The sequence below is a fragment of the Homo sapiens genome, chromosome 5 (genome assembly GCF_000001405.40).
Source record: "Homo sapiens chromosome 5, GRCh38.p14 Primary Assembly".
In the NCBI taxonomy this organism is placed as follows: Eukaryota; Metazoa; Chordata; class Mammalia; order Primates; family Hominidae; genus Homo; species Homo sapiens.
The window spans coordinates 105,369,659-105,393,153 of record NC_000005.10 but is presented as its reverse complement, the minus strand read 5'-3'; the positions used below and the strand labels follow the sequence as shown (position 1 = coordinate 105,393,153).

Here is a 23,495-nt window from a genome sequence, read left to right as displayed (position 1 = left end):
CAAAGCCTGAAAAGCCTGAAAACCGGGCTGCCAGTTCCAGGTAGAATCCACAACCGGAAGTGAGAACTTCCTGATGCCTTTCAGCCAATCAAATGGTTCTTCTTTCAGAGCCCACCCATGGACCAATCAGCATGCACGTCCTTCATTCTGAGCATATAAAAACCCCTGGACTCGGCCACAGCTGTCGACTACCAGGCTGCGTTAGGAGCTACCGTCTTCAGCTTTTTCTCGCTGCTGAGAGCTGTTTTGTTACTCAGTAAAACTCTTCTCCACCGTGCTCACCCTTCAGTTGACCGTGCAACTTCATTCTTCCTGGACATAAACCCGGGACCCACAGAACAGCGGGTGCAAAAAGGGCTGTAACGCTTTCCTGGCCGGATCGCCAAGCTGCAGGTAGGAGCTAAAGGAGCTATAACATGTTCCTGACGAGCGCGCTGAGCTGTAGGTAGTGACCTGCTCGCATTTGCCAAACTGGAGGAGTAAAGAGCAGCAATCCTTCTAGGGGCCCAGACCTCGGGAATCCCCGAGCCAGAATTGTAATACTATATATAGCCCTCCTACCCTCCGCCAATGTCAGGTAGCTGCTCCACACGACAGGAAGTACTGGCGGGACCAGGCCAGCCTGGGAGCCCTCGGCTGGAGCGAGGCTGCAGGGCTCAACAAGCTGAAAATACATCTCCCCTACCCCCACCATTCGGTGATATATGGGCGGCAGGAATGAGAGCTGTAGTATGCCCTCTCCAGCCCTGGGGGCTTCACGGTTGCTGGTGTCACTGAGTTTTTAAACACCACCGCATTCCCTCTGTCTAGATGCTGGCACCCGCAGCAGAATCTACTTGGGGTATGCCTAGTCCAGCCACAGTCTCGCACAGGGCCGGCACCTGTGCTGGCACCTGGAGGTGTCTGGCCCTCCACAGCTGCCAACATGCCTGGCTGTGAGCTCTGGCCAAACAGCGCACTCACTCGCTCATACACCGCTTTGTTCGCTCATACACCCCTTGCTGCTCCATGCCTGGTACGCCTTTGAAGGGCAAGGGATCCGGGCCAGTAGTACAAACTGAGGCAACCTGGTGGGCCAAGTGGGCGGAACGAGCCCAGCGGGTGCAAGTAAACTTAAGCAGAGGCACTGCCAGCCACAGAGGTTTCCAGCTGGTGAAGTGACATGTGAAAGATCCTGTGACAATAAGAAGTAGGAAGCTTTTGGTGTTGACAGGTTAATTCTGATTATGGTGTTGGATTCACGGGTGTATATACATCAAATGCATGTAATCACAATCAAAATATTATATAAAATTGACATATTACACCTATTGATTTTTCCAATCAAAGAACATGGTATATCTCTGCATTGATTTTTGTCTTTAAATTCTCTTAGAAATGTTCTGTAGATTTCAGGGGATAGGTCATTCATAGTGTCACTCAAATTTACTTTTAAATTCCTAATGTCTACTGATGGTATTTAAAATTCTATAATTTTTAAAATTTTCAATTTCTGCATATTTAAAATAGAACTAATTTTTCTCTATTGACTTTATCCTCTAACATTGCTAAACTCAATTGTTGGTTTTAATAGTTTTTGTTTTGTTTTGTTCGCTTTTAGAGTTGCATTAGAATTATCTACATGGACAATTATGTGTTTTCTGAAAATAAAGAGTATCAGTTTGTACTTATTTTTCTCATCTTACTGCACTAACTAAGGCTTTTGGTTAAATGTTGAGAAGACAGTATAAGAGTCAACAGCTTTGCCTTCTTATTGATTTTAGGATGAGAATAATCACAGTTTTACCATTGTTTTGACATCAGCTGTAGAATTTTCATCAATGTCTTTTGTTAGGTTGAAGAAATTATCTTTATTCCTGTTTTACGCAACTCTTTTTATTATTATTAGAGTTGAATTGTGCCAAAAAAATGTCTACATCTATAGAGGCGATCAAATGCTTCTTTCCTTTATTTTTAATTTGTTAATATGGTGAATTAAATTAATTGATATCAAAATGTTGTATCAAATTCGTATTTCCAGGATAAAATCCATTGCGTGACAATATAGTATATATTTATGTATTTTCAGATTTGACTTACAAACATTTTGCTTGAAATTTTTGCATATATTCATGAAAGATGTTGGTCTGCAGTTTTTTCGTTTGTTCTGTTTTGTTTTACTTGTAATAACTTTGTCTAGTTTTGGTATCACAGTAATTCTAGCCTCACCCATTGTGTTTGCTTCTTCTCTATTTTCTAAAAGAGCTTGTTTTGAATTGGTATCATTTCTCATTAAATGTTTCAGAAAATTTCCCCGTTAAACCATCTGGGCCTTGGGTATCTTTTATGGAAATTTTTTCACTATGAATTCAACTTGTTATAGATTTATGACTGTTCAAGTTATCTCTTGTTCAGCAAACTTCAGTAGTCTGTGCTTTCAAAAAATGTGTTCATTTCGTTAAATTGTGATATATATTACCAAAGAATTCTTTATAATATTTCCTTATTATACTTTAAATGCTCTTAGGATCTCTAGTAATATCTTCCTTTATCATTCTTGATAATATTACCTTGTTATTTCTCTGTTTTTCTTTTCCTGATAATTCAGGTAGGAAATTTATCAAATATATTGATCTTTTCAAACAATGACCTTTTGGTTTTATTAATCCTATTGTGATTCTTTTTCTATTTTATTAATTTTTGCATTTTAAAAATTATTTTCTTTCTTCTGCTAGTGTAAAATTTCTTTATTTTTTTAGCTTATTACTGTGGGAAACTTAGTTCATAAATTGGGAAATGCTCTTTTTTTCCTAGCTGCAACCCACAATTTTGAACACATCGTAATTGCAGTTTTTTTCAAAATATTTTAAAATGTTTCTTGTGATTTCTTCTTTGGTCCATAGTTGATTCAGAAAAGTGTTTTTTAATTTTAAAATATTTTGGTACTTTTGATATATTTCTTTTACTAATTATTAATTTATTTTTGTTATCAGTGGACAAGCTCTGTGTTATTTTACTAATTGCAAATTCACTATGACTTATTTTTTGGGACTAGATGTGGTCTACCTTGGAAAATGTTCCAGGTGCACTTGGAACATTAGTACCCTTTGTTTTGGTGTAGGATAGAGTGTTCCATAATTACCATTAGGTCAGTGGTTGATGATGTTACTCATCTTCCAGATTTTTACGGGTTTTCTGCCTTATTCTATCAGTTATCAAAAAGTGGTATTGGAATCTTCAACTGTCATTGTAAATGTGTCTATTTCTACTTTATTTGTATCATTTTTGTTTTATAATGCTTCATGATAGGTTCATTTGCATTTACATATTTAGTTTTATGATAGGTTCATTTGCATTTACATATTTAGTTTTAGTGGACTCCTGTATTATTTGAAATGACCTGCTTTATCTCTGGTAACATTTATTCTCTCAAATTTATTTTGTTTTGTTTTATTATATGATTTCAGATTTTTCTTGAGTAGTGTTAACATGGCATAGTTTTTGTATTCTCTTATATTTATCTTGAGTTCATGTATTTAAGGTGTCTTTCTTGTAGACTTAACTTTTTCAGGAATTCTAGACACCCTGGGCTCCCTAACTTCATCTCCTGGAATCAGGGAGACAACCAGGCTCTATTGAGTTCTCATGCACTCTACTCTAGCCTGAAACACTCTCCAGGCAAGGTGCTGACCTAATCATTGGGCTCTACTCATTGTTCCCTTTTGCTGATGGAGTCCTCCCTCATGCTTCCTGCCAACCAACGTCTGAGAGCCATTTTTTAAAAATATAATTTGTCTGAGTTTTTGTTTGTTTAAGGTGTGAAACTAATTCTGTTTTCTGCTATTTTACTCCTCATGAGAAGAATATAATTATTTATTATATTTTGCCTATATGATATTCCAAACATTCAAATTGTCAATCAGATGCACACAAACCAGAGAGCTTCCCCTGTATCAAGCCTTCCTAATTGTTGCCAGGATTTAATTGATTACAATGCACAGTAGAGGAGGTCTGGGTTCACCAACACAGCTTAAAGTTTCATTTTGGGCTGCAGTAACAGGTATTCTTGCCCAGGTTAACATGGAGTTTCTATGTAATATATACAGATGCATAATTTTCATAGAAGAGTCATTTTGGACATGACACATCTTCAATTTTTTTTCTAATAATCTGTATAAGGATTGACAGGTTATGACCAATGGTCAAATTCAGCTTACCATGATTTTGTATAGCTGGTAAGCTAAGAATGGCTTTTAAAATTATTGTCAAAAAGAAGAGAGAAAAAAAAATATGTAAAAGAGATTTCATGTGACCTGCAAGCCTGAGCTGTTTACTATGTAGCTACCTTACAGAAAAAAGCTCGCTGAGTCCTGATTTATGTGACTGTCTATAAAATCTATGTCACCTATAGATTTTATAAGTATCTGTGGACAGGCTAGGTTTATACTGCCACAGTCGTTCTGCTCTAAGAAAACACTATTTGTTTGATTGCCAGGAGGTCTGTCAATATTTTTACAAGGATATTTGACTGGGTTATCTTCCTTATTTACTGGAAGCATAGTCTCTGCACCATGAGCACAGGCAATAGGTTGCAAACTTTTGGGGTTACTATACCTTTCTTGTAAACATGACTATACTCTTACTAATTTGAATGCATGATCTGTGAGTTATTTTATATTGTTTTACATATAACATCACATCAGTCATGAATATTTATTTATTTCTCATCATTATATTTTGTTTTTATTTCTCACCTTACTGTACTGGTTAGGACCTCCAGAAGAGTATTAAATAGAAGGAATAGAAAATTTTTTTAAAACTTTTTTTCTGATTACATTGATTTAACAAATTTTTCAGAAGTTATTCAAAGAAACAAAATTTGTTTCGCTTGTCTCCATAAGAAAAATGTAGAGAAGGATATCAATTTTTTAAATTTTTTTCATCATAACTATATAACTATAGGGATTGATTATTTAAGAAATAAATACAGTGTGTAACCAACAATCACAATCAAGGTATAGAACATTTCCATCATTCCAGTATGTTCCACTCTGCCCCTTTGCACTGAAAGCCCTCCCCCTACACCAAGATTCTGTCAGTAATTGATGTTTCTGTCACAAAAGTCATTCCCTTTATCAAAACTTTATATAAAATAATCTTTTACTTTTTCAATTAGTGTAATGCTTTTGAAATTCATCCATAGTGTTTCATGTATTAATAATTTATTTTAATTAGTTGACTAGTATTCCTTTGTGTGGCTACACCACAACTGGTTTATTCAATCAGCAGTTCATGGACATTTGGGCTTTCTCTGCATTTTAGCTATTACAAATAAAGTAGCTATGAATATTCAAGATTTTGAATTTTTTTGGTTCAAGTCCCAGGAGTGCAGTACTTTATTGTATGGCAAGTATATGTTTAATTTTACAAAAAAATACAATACTCTTTTCAACATAGCTATATCTTTTCTATTTCACACAGCAATATATGTAAGTTCCAGTTTTCTACATTCTCTCCAAGACCTGGTATTGTCAGTGTTTTAATTATTCATTTTACTGCATGTGTAGTAATGATGCTGTGTGGTTTTAATTTGCATTTTTAAATAATCAAATAAAATTGCACATTTTATGTGTTTATTTGCATCCATATATCTTCTTTGGTGAAGTGTTTGTTCTAATATTTGCCTATTTTTTCTGGGATAATTTGTCTTTTCATTATTGAACCATAAGAATTATTCATATGTAGTCGATATAAGTCCTTGATCAAATATGTGATATGTACATAATTTCCACAAGTTTGTGGTTTTCCATTTCATTTTCTTGATAGTAAATTTTCAAATAAAATTTTGGTTTTGCTTAGAGTCCCAGTTTTTATTTTTTTCTTTTATATGTATTTTTTTCTGTCCTCGAATGAGTGAAAATATAATTTACTTTTACATTTAAGTCTGAGATTCGTTTTGAATTAGCGTTTACCTACAATATCAGGTAATAGTTCAAATTTATTTCATTTTTTTAGTACTTTCTGACTGCTGAAACACAACTTTTTGAAGAAATTATTCTTTCCTCAGTAATTATCTTTGTGCCTTTGTCAAAAGTCAAATGTATAAGTACACATATACATATGTGTAAGTCTACTTCTGGCCTTGTTATTCTGTTCCATTAATTTACATGTCTATCCCTAAACCAATGCCTCAATCACTGTCTTGATTACTGAAGCATTAGCATAAATCCTGAAATCAGGATGGTTAGTCCTTAAACTTTGTTGTTCCTTTTTACAAAACCGTTTTGGTTCTTTTAAGTTCTTTTTATTTCCATATAGACTTTAAAACTCGTTTTTCAATTTCAACAGAAAGCCTACTGGGATTTATCTTGGGAATTAAATGAAATAAATGAATTTATTCAGGTCTTCTAAGATTCATCTGAATAATATTTTGCTCTTTTCGCTATGCAATCTTGTACATATTTTATTGTTGGTCCCAAGTATTTTATATTTTTGATGCTACTGTACATGATGTTTTTAAAATTTCAGTTTTCAATGGGATATTACTAGTATATGGTAATACATGTAAATTTTATACTAACATTGTATCATAAATACTTTGCTAAACTCATAGGTACTGATTCCTTTTTAAAAAATTTATTACAATTTTATACATAGCCTATCATGTTGTCTGAACAAAAACCTGACTGAATTTAACTATTCTCAAATTTATTTCCTTTTGATCTCTCTTTTTTCCTTCCTCTCTTTCTTCTTTCTTCTCTTTTTTAAGTTTTTCTTTCTTGAATTCTTTAAAAAGATATTGAATATAAATTATTAGAGCTAAAAACTTTGCTCTGTTCCTAATATTCAACAGTAGGAAAAATAGCATTTAAATATTAAGACGTGGACTTTAGTCCTTTATTATTAATGTTGATAATTTATAATAAATTATTTTATCTTAATCTTTTATTTTAATAGCTTATCAATCTTAATTATATTTTTAAAGGGCCAACTTTTATTTGATTGTTGCTATTCTTTAACCATATTCTATTTCATTGATTTTTATGTTTTTAATTCTGCTTAATTTCTCTCTCTCTCTAATGAGGTATACATTTAGATATTTTTAAAAATTTTTTCTGACTTACGCCTTTTAATATAAGCTTTTACTACTATGCCTATCCCTGCAAAGTGCTGCATTAACTGTGTGCCACAAATCTTGATATACTCCTTTCATCTTCATTCATTTCAATTTTTTTTTTCTTATTTTCCTTGTGATTTATCCTTTGATCAATGGGTATTTATTTAGTGATGTACTATTGAATATTCTAGTATTTGGGAATTTAGCCGTGATCAGAAAATTTACTTTGCATAAATTGAATTGTTTTGAATTTATTAATCCTTTAAAAAAAAAAAAAACTAACAAAAAAGAAGATCCAGAAAATTATATCAGTGAATGTTTCTTTTGCACTTGTGATGATACACATGATGATGTTATTGAGGAAAGCATTCTACAAAGGTCTGATAGAGTCTTAATTGATAATGTCAAGCAAGATTTGTATATATTTACAAATATTTTGGTTCACATATTTTAGAGAGTTTTTTTGAAATCATAAATATATTTATAGATATTTCTATTGATCTAATGAGTCATAATAGATGTTACCTATAAAATGTGGTGTTCTTTGCATACATATTTGAGCTTGTTACAGATTCTTAATTATTTTACCAGTTTATCATATAAAATTTGCTCTTTATCACTGTAATATTTATTCTGAAGTCTAAATTATGCAATATTAACATAGCTACTCACTTTCTTTTGATTAATGGTGGCATGGTATATGCTTTATTTGTTCTGTTACTTTTCAAATATCTATGCATTTATAGTTAATGTGACTTTATTATATGCAGCAAGTATTAGGTAACACTTTGCATTCAGGTTTAAGTGCTCTTAACTTTAAAGGAAATAATCAAGCCATTTAGTTTTCATGCAATTGTTAAGGTGATTATGGTTAACCATATCATGAGCTATTTGTTTTCTGTTTGTCCCGTTTGGTTTTGGTTTCCTTTTTTCTCATATCAATTATTTTATAATTTATTCTTATCATCCCTAACGGATTATGAAATATACTTTTTCATGTGTATCCGTGTGCATGCATGCGTGGTTGCCCTAGGGTTTTCATCATGCATTTTTAACCAACAAAATTCTACCTTAAAGTAATGTTGTATCACTTAATATACACTTTAGTATCTTACAAATATGTAATTTATAAATTAATTTCTTCATATTTTTTGCAATTATGTTTTTACTTACACGTTACACCACAGTTTATCATTACAGTCTGAATTGTAGCCTTAGTTTTATACTCAGTGATGTTTAAATGAGATCTTATAAATTTGAAATGTTCTGTGTTTACTCACACATTTATTTTTACCAGTACTGTTCATTTATTTTTGTAGGTAGAGACTTTTAAATGAGCTATATAATGATTAATTTTACATGTCAGTGTGGCTAGGGCTATTGTGCTTGGCTGTTTGTTTAAACACTATATGCTGCTGTGAAAGTATTTTTTATATCTGATTAACTTTTAAAATCAGTAGACTTTAAGTAAAATTGATTACCTCCATAATCGTGTGGGCCTCACTTAATCCATTGAAGGCCTTAGGAACAAAGACTGAGGTTTTACAAAGAAACAGAAATTCTGCTTCAAGACTGCATTATGGGAACCTTGCCTGAGTTTACAGCCTGCTGTCCTGCCCTGTGGGTTTTAGATTTAATTATGGACTCAAGGCTGTAACTTTTTTTTTTTTTTTTTTTGAGACGGAGTCTCGCTCTGCCGCCCAGGCTGAAGTGCGGTGGCGCGATCTCAGCTCACTGCAAGCTCCGCCTCCCGGGTTCCTGCCATTCTCCTGCCTCAGCCTCCCAAGTAGCTGGGACAACAGACGCCCGCCACTATGCCCAGCTAATTTTTTGTATTTTTAGTAGAGACGGGGATTCGCCGTGTTAGCCAGGATGGTCTGGATCTCCTGACCTCGTGATCCGCCCATCTCGGCCGCCCAAAGTGCTGGGATTACAGGTGTGAGCCACCGCGCCCGGCCTGTAACTCTTAACTCTAGATTTTGAGCCTACCAAATTTCAGGACTTCAGACTTACCAACCTCCGCAATCATATGAGCCAATTATTTAAAATCTCTTTCCTAACCCCCGCCCCCGTGTGTGTATGTGTGTTTGTGTGTGTGTGTGTATGTGTATGTGTGTGTCTGTGTCTGTATTTTATTGTCTTTCTTTCTCTGAAAAACCCTAATTGAGTATCATTTCCTTTTTGCATAAAAGACCAACAGTTCATCTCTGTTGCCAGTGATTTTCTCATCTTTTGCATGAATGGAAAAGACTTTATTTCACATTCAATTTATGAGATATTTTCACTTTGCCAAAACTCTGGGTTGATAGTTTTTCTTTTTTTTTTAGTATTTTAAGGCTGACTTTTAATTATCTTCTAGATTGCATAGCTTTTGATAACAAATTTCTTATAATTACGATTTATATTCTGTGTGCAGTTTCTTTTTTTCTGCCTACAATTAAGATTTTTTTCTTTTTCAGTGCTTCTCAGCAATTCATTTATTGTTTGCTTTAGTATGTCTTTTCTTATTATTTTATTTAACATTTGATTCTGCTTAAAATTTTATTTCTAGAATATGTGCTTTTATAGTTTTTATAACATTTCTGGTACTATTTCTTCAAGTAGTGTTTTTGTATATGACCCCCATCACTCTCACTTGTCTTACCCATTGGAGACTCTAATCAAATACATATTATACTGCTTAATTTCTTGATATTTTCTCTCAGGCTGCTGATGCTGTATTCATTTACTTTTTAGGTTTCTTTTTTCCCTATATTTTATTTTGGATTTTTATTGCTATTATACCAAAGTTCACTAATCATTTCTTCTTTCAGGTCTCATCTGCTGTAATTCCATCCAGCCTTTTTTGCTCTTTGTTTTGCATTGTTAGAAGTTTAATTTCCATCTTGTATTTAGCTTAGTGTTTTTCTTTTCATCATATTTATATATTTTTTCATCTTTTCACATAGGAACATATCTACAATTGCTTTTATTTTTTTCCGAATTTATTACCTCTCCCATTTGTTTTTGTTTTATTGACATTTTCCTCCTATATTTTGTTCACTCTTTCTTTATACACGTGGTGATTATTAATGCATTTTAAACATTGAGTACTATCTGTTTTATATCATTAAGCAGTGTTCAACTTCTTGAAGTCAGTTTGCTTGATAACCAGTTTGATCATGTCAAGGTTTGTTTCTAAGCTCTTTTTGTGGAGGCTTATAGTTGCCTTTATCTTAGGGCTAATTGAGTTCTACTTTAAAGGTAGAAAGCTTTGAGTTTTCTGTTACATGTCATCATTATTCATTAATATCTCTCCATTCTGACTGATAAAAGCTGAAACTATCATTAGCCCTAAGTGAGTTCTGGGAATTTTTATTCTTATGACTATTAAGTAATTGTTTCCTTCGCTACCCTTTCTGCTTTCTACCCTTGGTTGATTTCCCCCTATGCGTGCACAGATTGGTATTCAGCCAAAACTTATTGGGATTCCTATGCAGATTTCTAAAAATCTTCCTTTCTGTGTAGCTCCCTCAATTTGACTTATCTGCCCTACAAATTCTAGCTATCTCATATTCCTTGAACTCTATTATCTGTGTTCTCTTTCAAGAGAGATTTCTGTATTGATTTTAGTTTTTCCCTCATGTGACATTGAGAATTATATCATCTTCCAAAAGTCTACATAATGGTAGGACTCACAGAATTTGTTTCCTGTTTCTCAGAGATGACAGTATTTCATTGTCTATTGCCTATGACTGAAAATTGTTTCTTACAATTTCTCCAGTTTCTATTTGTTTATGGTGAGAGGATAATTTTCGATCATTTTGTTTTTTCATGACTGAAAATGTAAATCTCATGGGTTATTTAAAAATGCATTCCTTATTTTCTAAACTGGATTTAGTCTTCTTGGGATGCCATAAAAATGTATCACAGACTTGGTGGCTTGAACACCAGACTTTTGTTTTATCACAGCTCTGGAGCCTGGAGGTCCAAGATGAAGATGTAGCAATTGTTCATGTCTGGTGAGGCCTCTCTCCTTAACTTGAAAACAGTTGCCTTCTCACCATGTCCCTCATGACCTTTTCTTTATGTGCACACACTCCTGGCGTGTCTTCTTATAAGAACGCCGATGTTATAGAATTAGGGCCCTAGCTTTCTAACTTCATGTAACCTTAATAACCTCCTTAAAAGTTGTATCTTCAAATACAGTCAAATTGGGTGTTATGGCTTTAACATGTGAATATGTGGGGTGGGGAGCAATTCAGGCTGTAGCACAAACATATGCAATTTTTCTAGTTAACATTTTGATATAACTAAATACCAGCTTAATTCATATAATCTGTATATCAGTTTTTGAAATTTGCCAGAAATTGCCTCATGACTTTTGATATGGTTTGGCTATGTCCCCAACCATATCCCATCTTGAATTGTAATCCCCATAATCCTCATGTATTTTGGAGAGACCCAGTGGGAGGTAATGGAATCATTTGGGTGGTTTCCCCCATGCTGCTCTCCTGATAGTGAGTGAATTCTCAGGAGATCCGATGGTTATCTAAGTGTCTGACCTTTCCCCTGCTGTCATTCATTCTCTCTTCTGCCACCCTGTGAAGAGGTGCCTTCCACCATGATTGTAAGTTTCCTGAGGACTTCCCAGCCATGTGGAACTGTGAGTCAATTCCTCTTTCCTTTATAAATTACCCAGTCTCAGGTATTTCTTCATAGCAGCGTGAGAATGGGCTAACACAATTTTGTATATGGTCCTTTATAAATCTCAAAAATTTCTACACATAAAATTATGTTTATTATGTAGTTTTTATGTGTGCTGCTCATGCTTACTTTGTTCTTACGGAGTTTGCAAAAGTCTACAAACCACAAATGGCCACAGAAGATGGGATCAATATCCCAGATTTATCTCTTCTCCCTGATCCTGGCCTGGCCATTCTTCACAGTATTGTTAGTTTTCTGACTGCTTTAAGTGGCAGCGCCCTAACTTTTCTAATTGTCTTTAGTGGAAGAATTGGTCTGAATTACCTGGTCAACTGTTACTAAAGCATTAAAAAGGAACTCCTTACTGGTTCTCCTTTCTTGGTTGGGAATACTGATTGTATTAGTCCATTCCTACACTGCTATGAAGAAATACCTGAGACTTGGTAATAAATAAAGGAAAGAGGTTTAATTGACTCATGGTTCTGCATTGCTGAGAAGGCCTCAGGAAACTTAAAATCATGGCAGAAGGCAAATGGGAGGAGCAGGCACTTTCTTCACAGGGTGGCAGGATGGAGTGACTGCCAGCAGGAGAGATGCCTGATGCTTATGAAACCATCAGATTTCATGAGACTCACTCACTAGCAAAAGAACAGCATAGGGGAAACCACTCCCATGATCCAGTTACCTCCACCTGGTCCCACCCTTGACACGTGGGGATTATGGGGATTATAATTCAAGATGAGATTTGGGTAAGGACACAGACAAACCATATTACTGATGAAAAAGTCCAATTGAAGTCAACCGTCTTGTCTCAATACCCATAAGAGGAGTCAGAAATGCATACTTTTCTCTAAGTTTTATTCTAGGATATGTGTGTCTAATTGCTTGGATAAGACTACATTGAAAGAAGAGAAATGCTAAAAATATTCAAGGGCTCTAGTGGCTGTTTGTAACACTAATTTCTAACAATGCATAATATCACAGTCATTTTAATCTGTCAGCCAGTGTGAAGACATGTGAGACAGGCAGTTAATTAAATCCTGCCTCCTGTTTGCGCCTGGTTTTCTCAATGCAGCTATCAATTTATCCCTTGCTTTTTCCCTCATTCTTGCAATATTTGTGTTCCATATGCTATTGCTAAGTAACAACTTATTCAAAAACTTGGCATTATAAAATGTTTTATTACTACACTCATGGCATTTTTAAGTCAGGAGTTTGTATATAGTACACAGAGATGTTTTTTTTTTCAGCTCTACAATGTCTGGAGCATCAACTGGAAATCATGGCCAGCTTATTTTACTCGCTGTAAGCTACTAAAACCCACACTTTATGAAATCTGGGCTTCCATTTTTCCCAGTAGAGTTGGGGCAAATATGTATTAAAGAGTTATAGCCACATCAAATAGCCTTTATGATCGGACAGTGATTTTCAGAGGGCTAATCCAGTGACTAATTTTACCACATGCTTTTCTTTAAGTGGTACAATATTGATATATTTTCAAGTTAACTGTCTTCCTCTTTAGAGGAAAGAGCCACATTGTCCCATAGGCTCTACTACATAGTGTTGTGAACAGTAAGTATCACTGATGGGCCACTGGTTCTGTCATCTCACTTTTGTAAGGGGGACTTTTAACCAACTCTTCTGAAAGCAATTCAAATATAAAGTAGTCCTGAAGACTGTTATGTTCTGACTGTGTACCCCCCAAATGCATACTTTCAAACTTAATCACTGAGGGTTATGTTCAAGATGACTGATTAGAAGAAGCTACTGTATGCCATTCTAATGGAGAGGAAATAAAGTGGTGAATAAATACCAGTTCTTCAAGTGTATCATCTAAGAGACCATGTAAGGTGTTCCCTCAGGCTCCCACCACCTAAGCATTTTGCCTGCCCCTGCCTGAGAGTTTGGCCAGCAACTTGCAGACCAGCCTGCTCTCCTCATCACAGCCAGCATCTGACTCTGGGCTAGGGTGACTCTAGTCCAGTCCCTTCATACACACTGTCCAGAAGGCCATCTAGGGGCCTTGGAACTGGAGGAGCAACCAACCCCACATTCTAATTCTGCTGGAACCTAATCACCTCCCCCATGGCTAGAGGTCAGGCTGACCAAAGCAGCCAACACTACCACAACTAACATCCACTCACACAGGCCCAAAGGTAGAGCCCTCTCTTTAGAAGAGCAGTGCTGCCACATTGGAGAGCAGTCAAGCCTTAAAGCTTTCTGTATCAAGTTGTATGATGAGGTTATGCCCTGAAACCACTCCCACAAAGACTAGCAAAACAGGCATTCCCTGTGGCTTCCAACCACATTACAGTCTAGAGATAGACAACACTATGCATGTGAACTAGGAGTCACAAGTGGTAGAACAGGAATGTGATAGGGAAACAGATTGCATTCATGTCTATCTAGGATGGGGAGCCAATGCAACCCTCTCACAACCCCGGCAGAGACCTCAGTGCACTTCACCATGAGCTCCCTCCAGACACCCTGGTTAGGGCTGGTGACTGTGCCCACCATTGGGATATCCATGGGAAAGTCACCGGCTCCATCTGCACAGATGTGTTCCAGCACCCACAGGGAATAGGAAGTTCAGGGCACTGGGCACTCCACTGTTCAGCCCTACAACTGAAACAACAGAGGGCACTTTATAGTAAACAAAGATCAGGTCCATACACTTGCTTGTGTGGCAGCTGTCTCCTACCTGCCAATGCCATCCACTGGCCCTTGGGTCAAACCTACAGCCAAATACAAAACCTGCTGACAGAAGTGTGTGACACTATAGAAGCAAAGTTAAAAGACCCTATCAAACACAACCATCTCCAGATGAGAAGAAACGAGCATAAGATTTCTGCCACCATGAAAAATAAAATGTGACACCACCAAAGGCTTGCCTTAGCTCTCCAGCAGTTGTCCCTGGCCAAAATAGAGCAGAGAGATGAAAGATAAAGACTTCAAATTATGTATTCCAGGAAAACTCAATGAGATCCAAGATGAGATTGAAAATCAACACAAAGAAACACCTAAAACAATGCAGGAAAAAAGGAAGAAGTAAACATCTTAAAAAGAACCTAATCAGAGCTACTGCAACTGAAAAACTCACGTAATGAATTTCAAATGCAACAGAAACTTGTATCCATAGACTAGACCAAACAGAAAAAAGAATTTCAGAGCTTGAAGATTGGTCTTTCAAGCTAACTGAGTCAGATAAAAATAAAGGAAGAAGAGCTTTGTTTTAAATCAACTAAGTCTTTGAGGAATATGAGATTGCGTAAAGCTACGAAACCTCTAAATTAATGGCATTTCTGGGGGATAAGGATAAAATGCAGTCAACATGGAAAACATATTTGAGGGAATAATTCAAGAAAATTTCCCTAATCTTGCTAGAATTAGACATCCAGATACAAGACATACAGAGAATACCTAAGTGATGCTATACAAAACAAGCATCACCATGGCATATAGTCACCAGACATCTAAGGTCAATGCTAAAGAAAAAAATCTTAAAGGCAGCTAGAGAAGAAGGTCGATCATGTACAAATATAACCCCTTCAGGTTAGCAGCAGACTTCTCAGCAGAAGCCCTACAAGCCAGAAGAGACTAGGGGCCAATTTTCAGCATTGTCAAATAGAAGAAACTCCAGCGAAGAATTTCATTCCCTGCCCAACTAAACTTCATAAGCAAAGGAGAAATAAAATCTTTTTCAGATAAGTGATTGCTAAGAGAACTCATTATCACTAGACCAGCCTTACAAGAGATTTTTAAGGGATTTCTAGGCATGGAGATGAAAGAATGATATCTGCTACTACAAAACCATACCTAAGTACATTGGCCACAGACCCATTAAAGACATGGCATAATAGAAACTACAAAACAATCAGGTAACAATTTCACACTAGGATCAAAACCTCACACATTAGTATTAACCTTGAATGTAAATGCCCAACTTAAAAGGCACAAAGTATTGAGTTGGATAAGAAAATAAGACTTATATGTCTGCTGTCTTCAAGAGACCCATCTTTCATGTAACAACACTCCTGCACTCAAGGTAAAGGATTGGAGGAAGATCTATCATGCAAATAGAAAATAGACTTTAAACCAACAAAAATAGAAAAGAACAAAGATGGGCACTACATAATAATAAGGTTTTAACTACATAATAATAAAGGCTTCAATCCAACAAGATGACTTAACTATCTTAAATATAAGGCACCCAACATTGGAGCATCCAGATTCATAAAACAAATACTTCTATATCTACAAAAAGACTTAGACATTCACACAATAGTAGTGGGGGAATGTAATGCCCCACTGACAAGGCTAGACATATAATTGAGCCAGAAAACTAACAAATTTTGGACATAAATTTGACATTTGATCAATTGAATCTAATAGACATAGAACACTGCACCCCATTAACCACTGAATATATATTCTTTTCATCTGCACATGGAACATAGTCTAAGATCAATCACATGCTCGGCCGTAAAGCAATTCTCAATAAAGTCAGAAAAATAAAAATCATACCAAGCATACTTTTAGACCACAGTGGAATACAAATCAATACCAAGAAGTTCTCTCAAAAATCACACAAATACATGACAATTAAACAACTTTCTCCTGAATCACTTCTGGGTAAACAATGAAATTAAGTCAGAAATTTAAAAACTCTTTAAAAAAATGAAAACAGAGACACAACATACTAGTCTCTACAATGCAGCAAAAGCAGTGTTAGGAGGAAAGTTTAGAGCACTAAAAGCCTACATCAAGAAGTTAGAAAAATCTTAAATTAATTATGTAACATCATGTCTGGAGGAATTAGAAAAGCAAAGAACAAACAAACCTCAAAGCTAGCAGAAGAAAAGTCATAACTAAAATTAGAGCAAAACTGAATGGAATTGAGACCCCACCATCCATACAAAGGATCAATGAAACCAAAAGCTGGTTCTTCAAAAGGATTAACAAGATCAATAGACCAACAGCTAGCTTAACAAAGAAAAAAAAAGAGAAATCCCAAATAAGCACAATCAGAAACAGCAAAGATGACATTACAACCTATCCTACAGAATATGAAATGTCCTCAGAGACTACTATGAACACAGCTGTGCATAAAAACTAGAAAGTCTAGAGGAAATAGATAAATTCCTGGAAAATTACAGGCTCTCAAGACTGAATGAGGAAGAAATTGAAACTATAAACTAACCAATAATGAGTTCTAAAATTGAATCAGTAATCCTAACCCAAAAGAGCCCTGGACCAGGTGGGTTCTCAGGCAAATTCTACCAGATGTACAAAGAGTAGATACCAGTCCTACTAAAACCATTTCAAAAAAAAAAAAAAAAAAAAAAAATGGAGAAGGAGGGACTCTTCTCTAACTCATTCTGTGAAGCCAGCATCACTCTAATACCAAAATCTGACAATGACACAATGAAAAAAGAAAACAAGAGACCCAAATCCCTGATGAACATAGATGTAAAAATCCTGAACAAAACACTAGCAAATCAAATCCAGCAGTAAATCAAAAAGTTAATTAATTATAATAAAGTAGGTTTTATTCCTGTCATACAGGGCTGGTTTAACATATGCACAACAATAAATGTAATTCACAGCATAAACAGAATTTTTTAAAAATCCATATTATCATCTCATAGTCACAGAAAAAGATTTTGAAAAAAATCCAATATCCCTTCTTTATAAAAACTCTCAGCAAACTAGATTTCAAAAGAACATACCCCAAAATAATAGCAGTCATCCAAGACAAACCTACAATTACACTGAATGGGCACAAGCTGGAAGCATTCCATTTAAGAAGTGGAACAAGATAAGGACGCCCACTCTCACCACTCCTATTCAAAATAGTACTGGAAGTCCTAGCCAGAACAATCAGGCAGGAGAAAAAAATAAAAGACATCCGTATAGGAAAATAAGTCAAATTAGCCTTCTTTGCCTAAAGACTGCCAAAAGGTTCCTAGGCCTGATAAACGACTTCAGTAAAATCTCAGGATACAAAATCGATGCACAAAAATAAGTAGTATTTCTATATACCAATAACTTTAAAATTGAGAGGCAAATCAAGAATGTAATCTTATGTACAATAGCCACAAAAAATTAAAATACCTAGAAATAACATCTAACCAAGAAGGTGAAAAATATCTACAAGGAAATTACAAAACACTGATGAAAGAAGTTATCTTACAAACAAATGGAACACCATCCCATGTTCATAGGTCAGAAGAATCAATATTATTAAAATGGTCATATGGCCCAAAGCATCTACAGATTCAATGTTATTTCAGAAAGCCCAATTCTCCATTTTTACCCATCTGACATATTCATAATGTCAACTGATTCCAAGATATGAGCTATATTTTCAAAATAGGGTAGAAAATACCTACTGCAGTAAGCTATTAACTTATAAAAATGTGCTTGACACATTGGCCCTATGGAAGATATCCATGTCATTACTTAGCTCATTGATGAAATAACTAATATTCTTGCTTCCTAAAAATCACCAAAAAATGGAGCTATGTCCATTATTCAGCCCTGCATTTCAACAAGAAATGTTGGTAGGAGTTAAAATCTTTTAGAATATACAGTAAAAAAATTCATTTTCAGACATGATGTAGCCCTCAAATTCTTCACACCTTTTGCCAAGTTGTTTCTGGCATTTAGGACACAAGGTTAGCAGAAATAAAGATAGCAGCCTAATGTGCATTTATACATTGTGAGTTGACAGTTCAACATAGTGCAACTTTCCACCTTTCTCAGGTAAAATTAGGTATTCTCGCATCTAAAATTATATCTGAGGAACTAGTACAAAAAGAAGATATAGTTTGCAAATACTTTTTACCAATCTATGCTTGCCCTTTCATTTTGTTGATTGTGTTCATTGCTGTTAAAACCAAGCATTTAATAAGGGGTTACTATACAAGGTATATAAGGAACCCGTACAATTCAGTAGCAAATAAACAAGTATCTTGATCAAAAAATGGGGAAAGCAACCAAATAGACATTTTTCCAAAGAAGAATAAAGAAATGGCCAACAGATACATGAAATGGTGTCCAACATCACTAATCATTAGGGAAATGCAAATCAAAACCACAATGAGATTATTACGTCACATCTGTTAGGATGACTGTTACCAAAAGACAAGGATTGGAGAAGGTGCAAAGAAAATAGAAGCCTAATGCACTGTTGATGGTAATGTAAATTGGTACAGCCAATATGAAAAACAGTATGAAGGTTCCTGAAAATATTAAAAATAGAATCACTGTATAATCAGCAATCCCTCTTCAGCAATACCCAAAGGAAATAGAAATCACTACTTCAAAGATATATATTCATTCTAGTGTTCATTGCAACTTTGTTCACAATTAACAAAAATATGGAAACAACCTGTGTTCACAGATGGATTAAAAAATTCTGGTATATATTTATATACAATGTAATTCAACCTTAAAATCAAAGGAAATTCTGGCATTCGTAATAACAGGGATGGACCTGGAAAACATGCTACATGAAATAAGTGAGAAAGAAGAAGACAAATACTGCAATATCACTTATATAAGGAATCTAAAAAAAATTACATAGAAACAGAGTAGAATGGTGGTTGCCAGTGTTTAGAGGTTGGAGGAAATGAAGAGCTGTTGGTCAGAAGGTACAAACTTGCAGTTATAAGGTGAATACGTTCTGAAGAATTAATGTACAACATGGTGGCTACAGTTAATGACTCCATACATGTACACATGTATAGTCATGTGTCACTTAATGATGGGATATATTTTGAGATATATGTCGTGAGGTGATTTCATCACTGTGTGAATCGTAGAGTGGGCTTACACAAACCTGGATGGAATAGCGTACTACACCTCGAGGCTATGTAGTACAGTCTATTGCTCCTGTGGTACAAACCTGTACAGTATGTTACTGTACTGAATATTGTAGGCAATTGTAACACAATGTTGAGTGTTTGTACATCTAGACATAGAAAGGGTAATACCCTAGGAAGTCACTAGGTGATGGCAATTTTTCAGTTCCGATACAATTTTATGGGACCACTGTCATATATGCCGTCTGCCATTGACTGAAATGTCATGTACACATGACTGTATTTTATACTTGAAATGTAATAAGAGAGTACATCTTAAGTTTTTTCACCAAACCAAAAAAAAGTAGGGATGTTGGGTTATGGATATGTTAATTAGCTTGATTGTGGCAATTATTTCACTATATATACATATAATACAATTACATATATGTATATGTATGTTACATGTAATACATATATAAATATATATAACGCATGTATAATATATGTATATATGTAATACATATACACATATAATACAATTACAATGTATATGTATATTATATGTAATACATATACACTCTATAGCTAAAATATATATATATATATAAATGACTTGAATACATACCATTTTGTCACTTATACTTCAATAAATCTGGACAAAAAAGAACAATCTAAGATATATACCACCTTCTTCCTCTCCAGCATAAGGCATTCTATATCACATTATTGTCTTTTAAGTCTTTAAACATTCCTATAACTTTCCCACTATTTCTTTGCCATCTTTCTTTACCTGATTATTTTTGGCCTCTTTAACAGAACTCAATGCTGGTAAAAAAAAAAAAAAAAAATAATTAGTCTAATTGTTTGTTATGGTATCTCATCTGGAATAATACCTAATATCAAGTAGCTGCCTTATCAGTATTTTTGAGTAAATACATTTCAACTACTGAATGAATACCACCAATGGGTAACAAGTTCAATATCACTCTATTGGTATACTTTGCCTTCACTTTGACAATACTGAATTTGATCAGAACCGAAAGAGTGGGGTTTTTCTTCTGTGCTAGCAGAGATGATCCATATTGTATCCATCACTGAGAGTTTTCTCAGCTGTTTGGTTGACATATGCTGAGCCTCCACAACGTTTCAAGTGCAACTGGTCTGTGCTTTCCTGAATTTATGCTCATCTAGTTCCCTTCTTGGTCTGTTATAATCCTTCTGGGAGGACATTTCTTCATCCATTTCTCAACACACTGAACAAACATTGAAAACAGCATGTAAAAAATTTCAGTATTTCAAATAGCCACAATGTATTTCAAGCAACTAAATTGTAAGCTGTTAAACTCTAGGTACTAAATGCTTTTATTTTTCCTGAAGATTAGTAGCCTATCTATAATCCCTTTTAGACAAAGTTGCTGGGCCAGTGGATTTTGTAAATATTTTTATTTTATTCCGGTTCTTTTCATCAAAATGACCTAGTAAGTCAACACATTAAAGCACCTACTCTTCTTTGAATAAATCTATTTAGATAACAGATGGTGATAAATACATAAATAGATGTAGACAGATAGATACTAATTTTTTATAAATACAAATAAAAAAGTTAGCAGAGCTCTAAAATACAATTTATGTGATGGCCTAAAGGAAACAGAAATTAAAAATGATAAACACAGAATAGAACAAGACTTCTATAGTCTAGATGGGGAAGCAGACAGAGGCAACTGAAAATTCAATTACTGATAATAGGAACTAGCAATACTGTAAACAAGAAACACTAGATTTAACACTTCTCAGTCCAATATATTGTTTGAACCCAGTATCCAATTAGTGTCTAAATCAATGAGTGAAAAATAATTGATTTTCTTTTAATTAAACACCCTTAAAATTTTGAGATAATTGTATATTCACATGCAGTTGTAAGACAGTGTAGAGACAGCACACGTTCTTTACTCAGTTTCTTAAAACAGGTAACAGCAAAACTATAATGTAATATTATAATCAAGATATTGACACTAAGGCATTCAAAATACAAAATATTTGCATTACATAAAGGTTCCTTCATGTTACTCTTTACTAGCCACACCCAGGAAACCACTAGTCTAGTCTCCATCTCTATAATTCTGTCATTTCAAGGATGCTGTATCAATGGATTCACATACATTGTAACCTTTTGGGATTGACATTTTTTCCCTTCAGTCAGCATAATTCTCTGAAGATTCATCCAGACTGTTGCATGTCTCAGTAGTCCGTTATTTTTTATTGCTTAAAAATATTTTATGGTGGTTTCCAGCTTCATCCATGTCCCTACAAAGGACGTGAACTCATCATTTTTTATGGCTGCATAGTATTCCATGGTGTATATGTGCCACATTTTCTTAATCCAGTCTATCATTATTGGACATTTGGGTTGGTTCCAAGTCTTTGCTAAGGACAAAAAACCAAACACCGCATGTTCTCACTCATAGGTGGGAATTGAACAACGAGAACACATGGACACAGGAAGGGGAATGTCACACACAGGGGCCTGCTGTGGAGTGTGGGGAGCGGGGAGGGATAGCATTAGGAGATATACCTAATGTTAAATGACGAGTTAATGGGTGCAGCACACCAACATGGCACATGTATAAATATGTAACAAACCTGCATGTTGTGCACATGTACCCTAAAACTTAAAGTATAATAATAAAAAAAAAAATTTATGGTTTAAATATACCAAACTTTGTTTAAGCATTCATCCATTGGAGGGCATCTGTGTTGTTTCTAGCTTTTGCATATTATTAATAAGACCACTAAAATATTTTAATATGCGTTTATAATTCCTAGGTAAATAATATAATTCTTCAATAATTAAATATGTCAGTAATTGAGTACAGACAATGATTGGATACAGGAAATAATTCCTCATTATTTGGGTTAGATATCCAATAGTGCAATTATTGGTTATCTTGTAGTTAAAGGTTTAACTACTGTTTTAACAAATGGTCAGTCTCTTTTTCCAAGGTGCTTCTACTATTTACCTTCCAACCAGTGATATAGAGTGATCCAGTTTTTTCCACATCTTTGCCAGAATATGGTGCTATCGCTATATTTTTAGTTAATTAGTTAATTTTAATTTTCACTATTTAGCTACATGTGTATTAATATGTGATTGTGATATTAATTTTCATTTTCCAAATAGCTATGATGTTGAACATATTTTCATGTACTTGTCTTCTGTATATTATGTTTGAAAAAAGTCTCATTTATTTTGCTCATTTTCTAATTGGACCCTTTGGCTGTTTTATATTGAGTTTTGGGAATTTGTTATGTATTCTACATGGTGTTTGTTAAATATGTGATTTGAAAATATTTTATTTCACTTTGTAGCTTAATCTTTTTCGTCGTCTTCTGATCCGTAGTCAGACGCGTTATCCATTGCGCCACTGGCCCGCCTTTTTCGTCTTCTTAACAGGGGCTTTTATGAAACAAAAGTTAAATTTTTGAAGTCCAATTTATAATTTTTTTCTTTTATGTATCATGCCTTGGTATCAAGTTTAAAAACATTTATTTGCTTCTAGATTTCAAATATATCTTCCTACTTTTTTCCTGAAAGTTTTATAGTTTTATGTTTTGCATTAAGTACATTATTGATTTTAAGTAATTTTTAGAAAGCATGAGACCTAGGCAAGGTTTTTTTTTTTTTTTTTTTTTTTATATTTACCCTTTGCAGCTCTAATTTTTCTAGTACCATCTCTTGAAAAGGCTGTCTTTCCTTTATTGAATTACTTTAGTCAAAACTTGGTTGGATATATTTTGGGGGTGTATTTCTAGGTTCCTTCTTTTGTTCCATTGATTTATATGTCAATATCTCAACCAGTAATGATTTCTGTATCCTTATAATAGGTCTTGAATTTGGATAGACATGT

At 34.6% G+C, this 23,495-nt stretch overlaps 1 long non-coding RNA gene across 2 annotated transcripts in view, besides 1 other annotated feature; it reads left to right on the top strand.

Moving 5' to 3' along the window:
• Positions 1-183: 183 nt before the first annotated feature.
• The window catches only part of LOC105379110 (uncharacterized), a 149,823-nt gene continuing 126,511 nt past the window's right edge, over positions 184-23,495 (top strand). For both annotated transcript variants that reach the window (XR_948650.3, XR_948649.3), the window contains exon 1: positions 184-393. This is a non-coding gene — a long non-coding RNA (uncharacterized LOC105379110). The remainder of the gene's footprint in view (positions 394-23,495) is intronic.
• Positions 627-1,456: an enhancer, noted in NCBI's record as "H3K27ac-H3K4me1 hESC enhancer chr5:104727399-104728228 (GRCh37/hg19 assembly coordinates)". NCBI's record gives its function as "activates a minimal SCP1, AML or CMV promoter by ChIP-STARR-seq in naive H9 embryonic stem cells {active_cell/tissue: H9 hESC(naive)}" and the evidence as "EXISTENCE:reporter gene assay evidence [ECO:0000049][PMID:30033119]".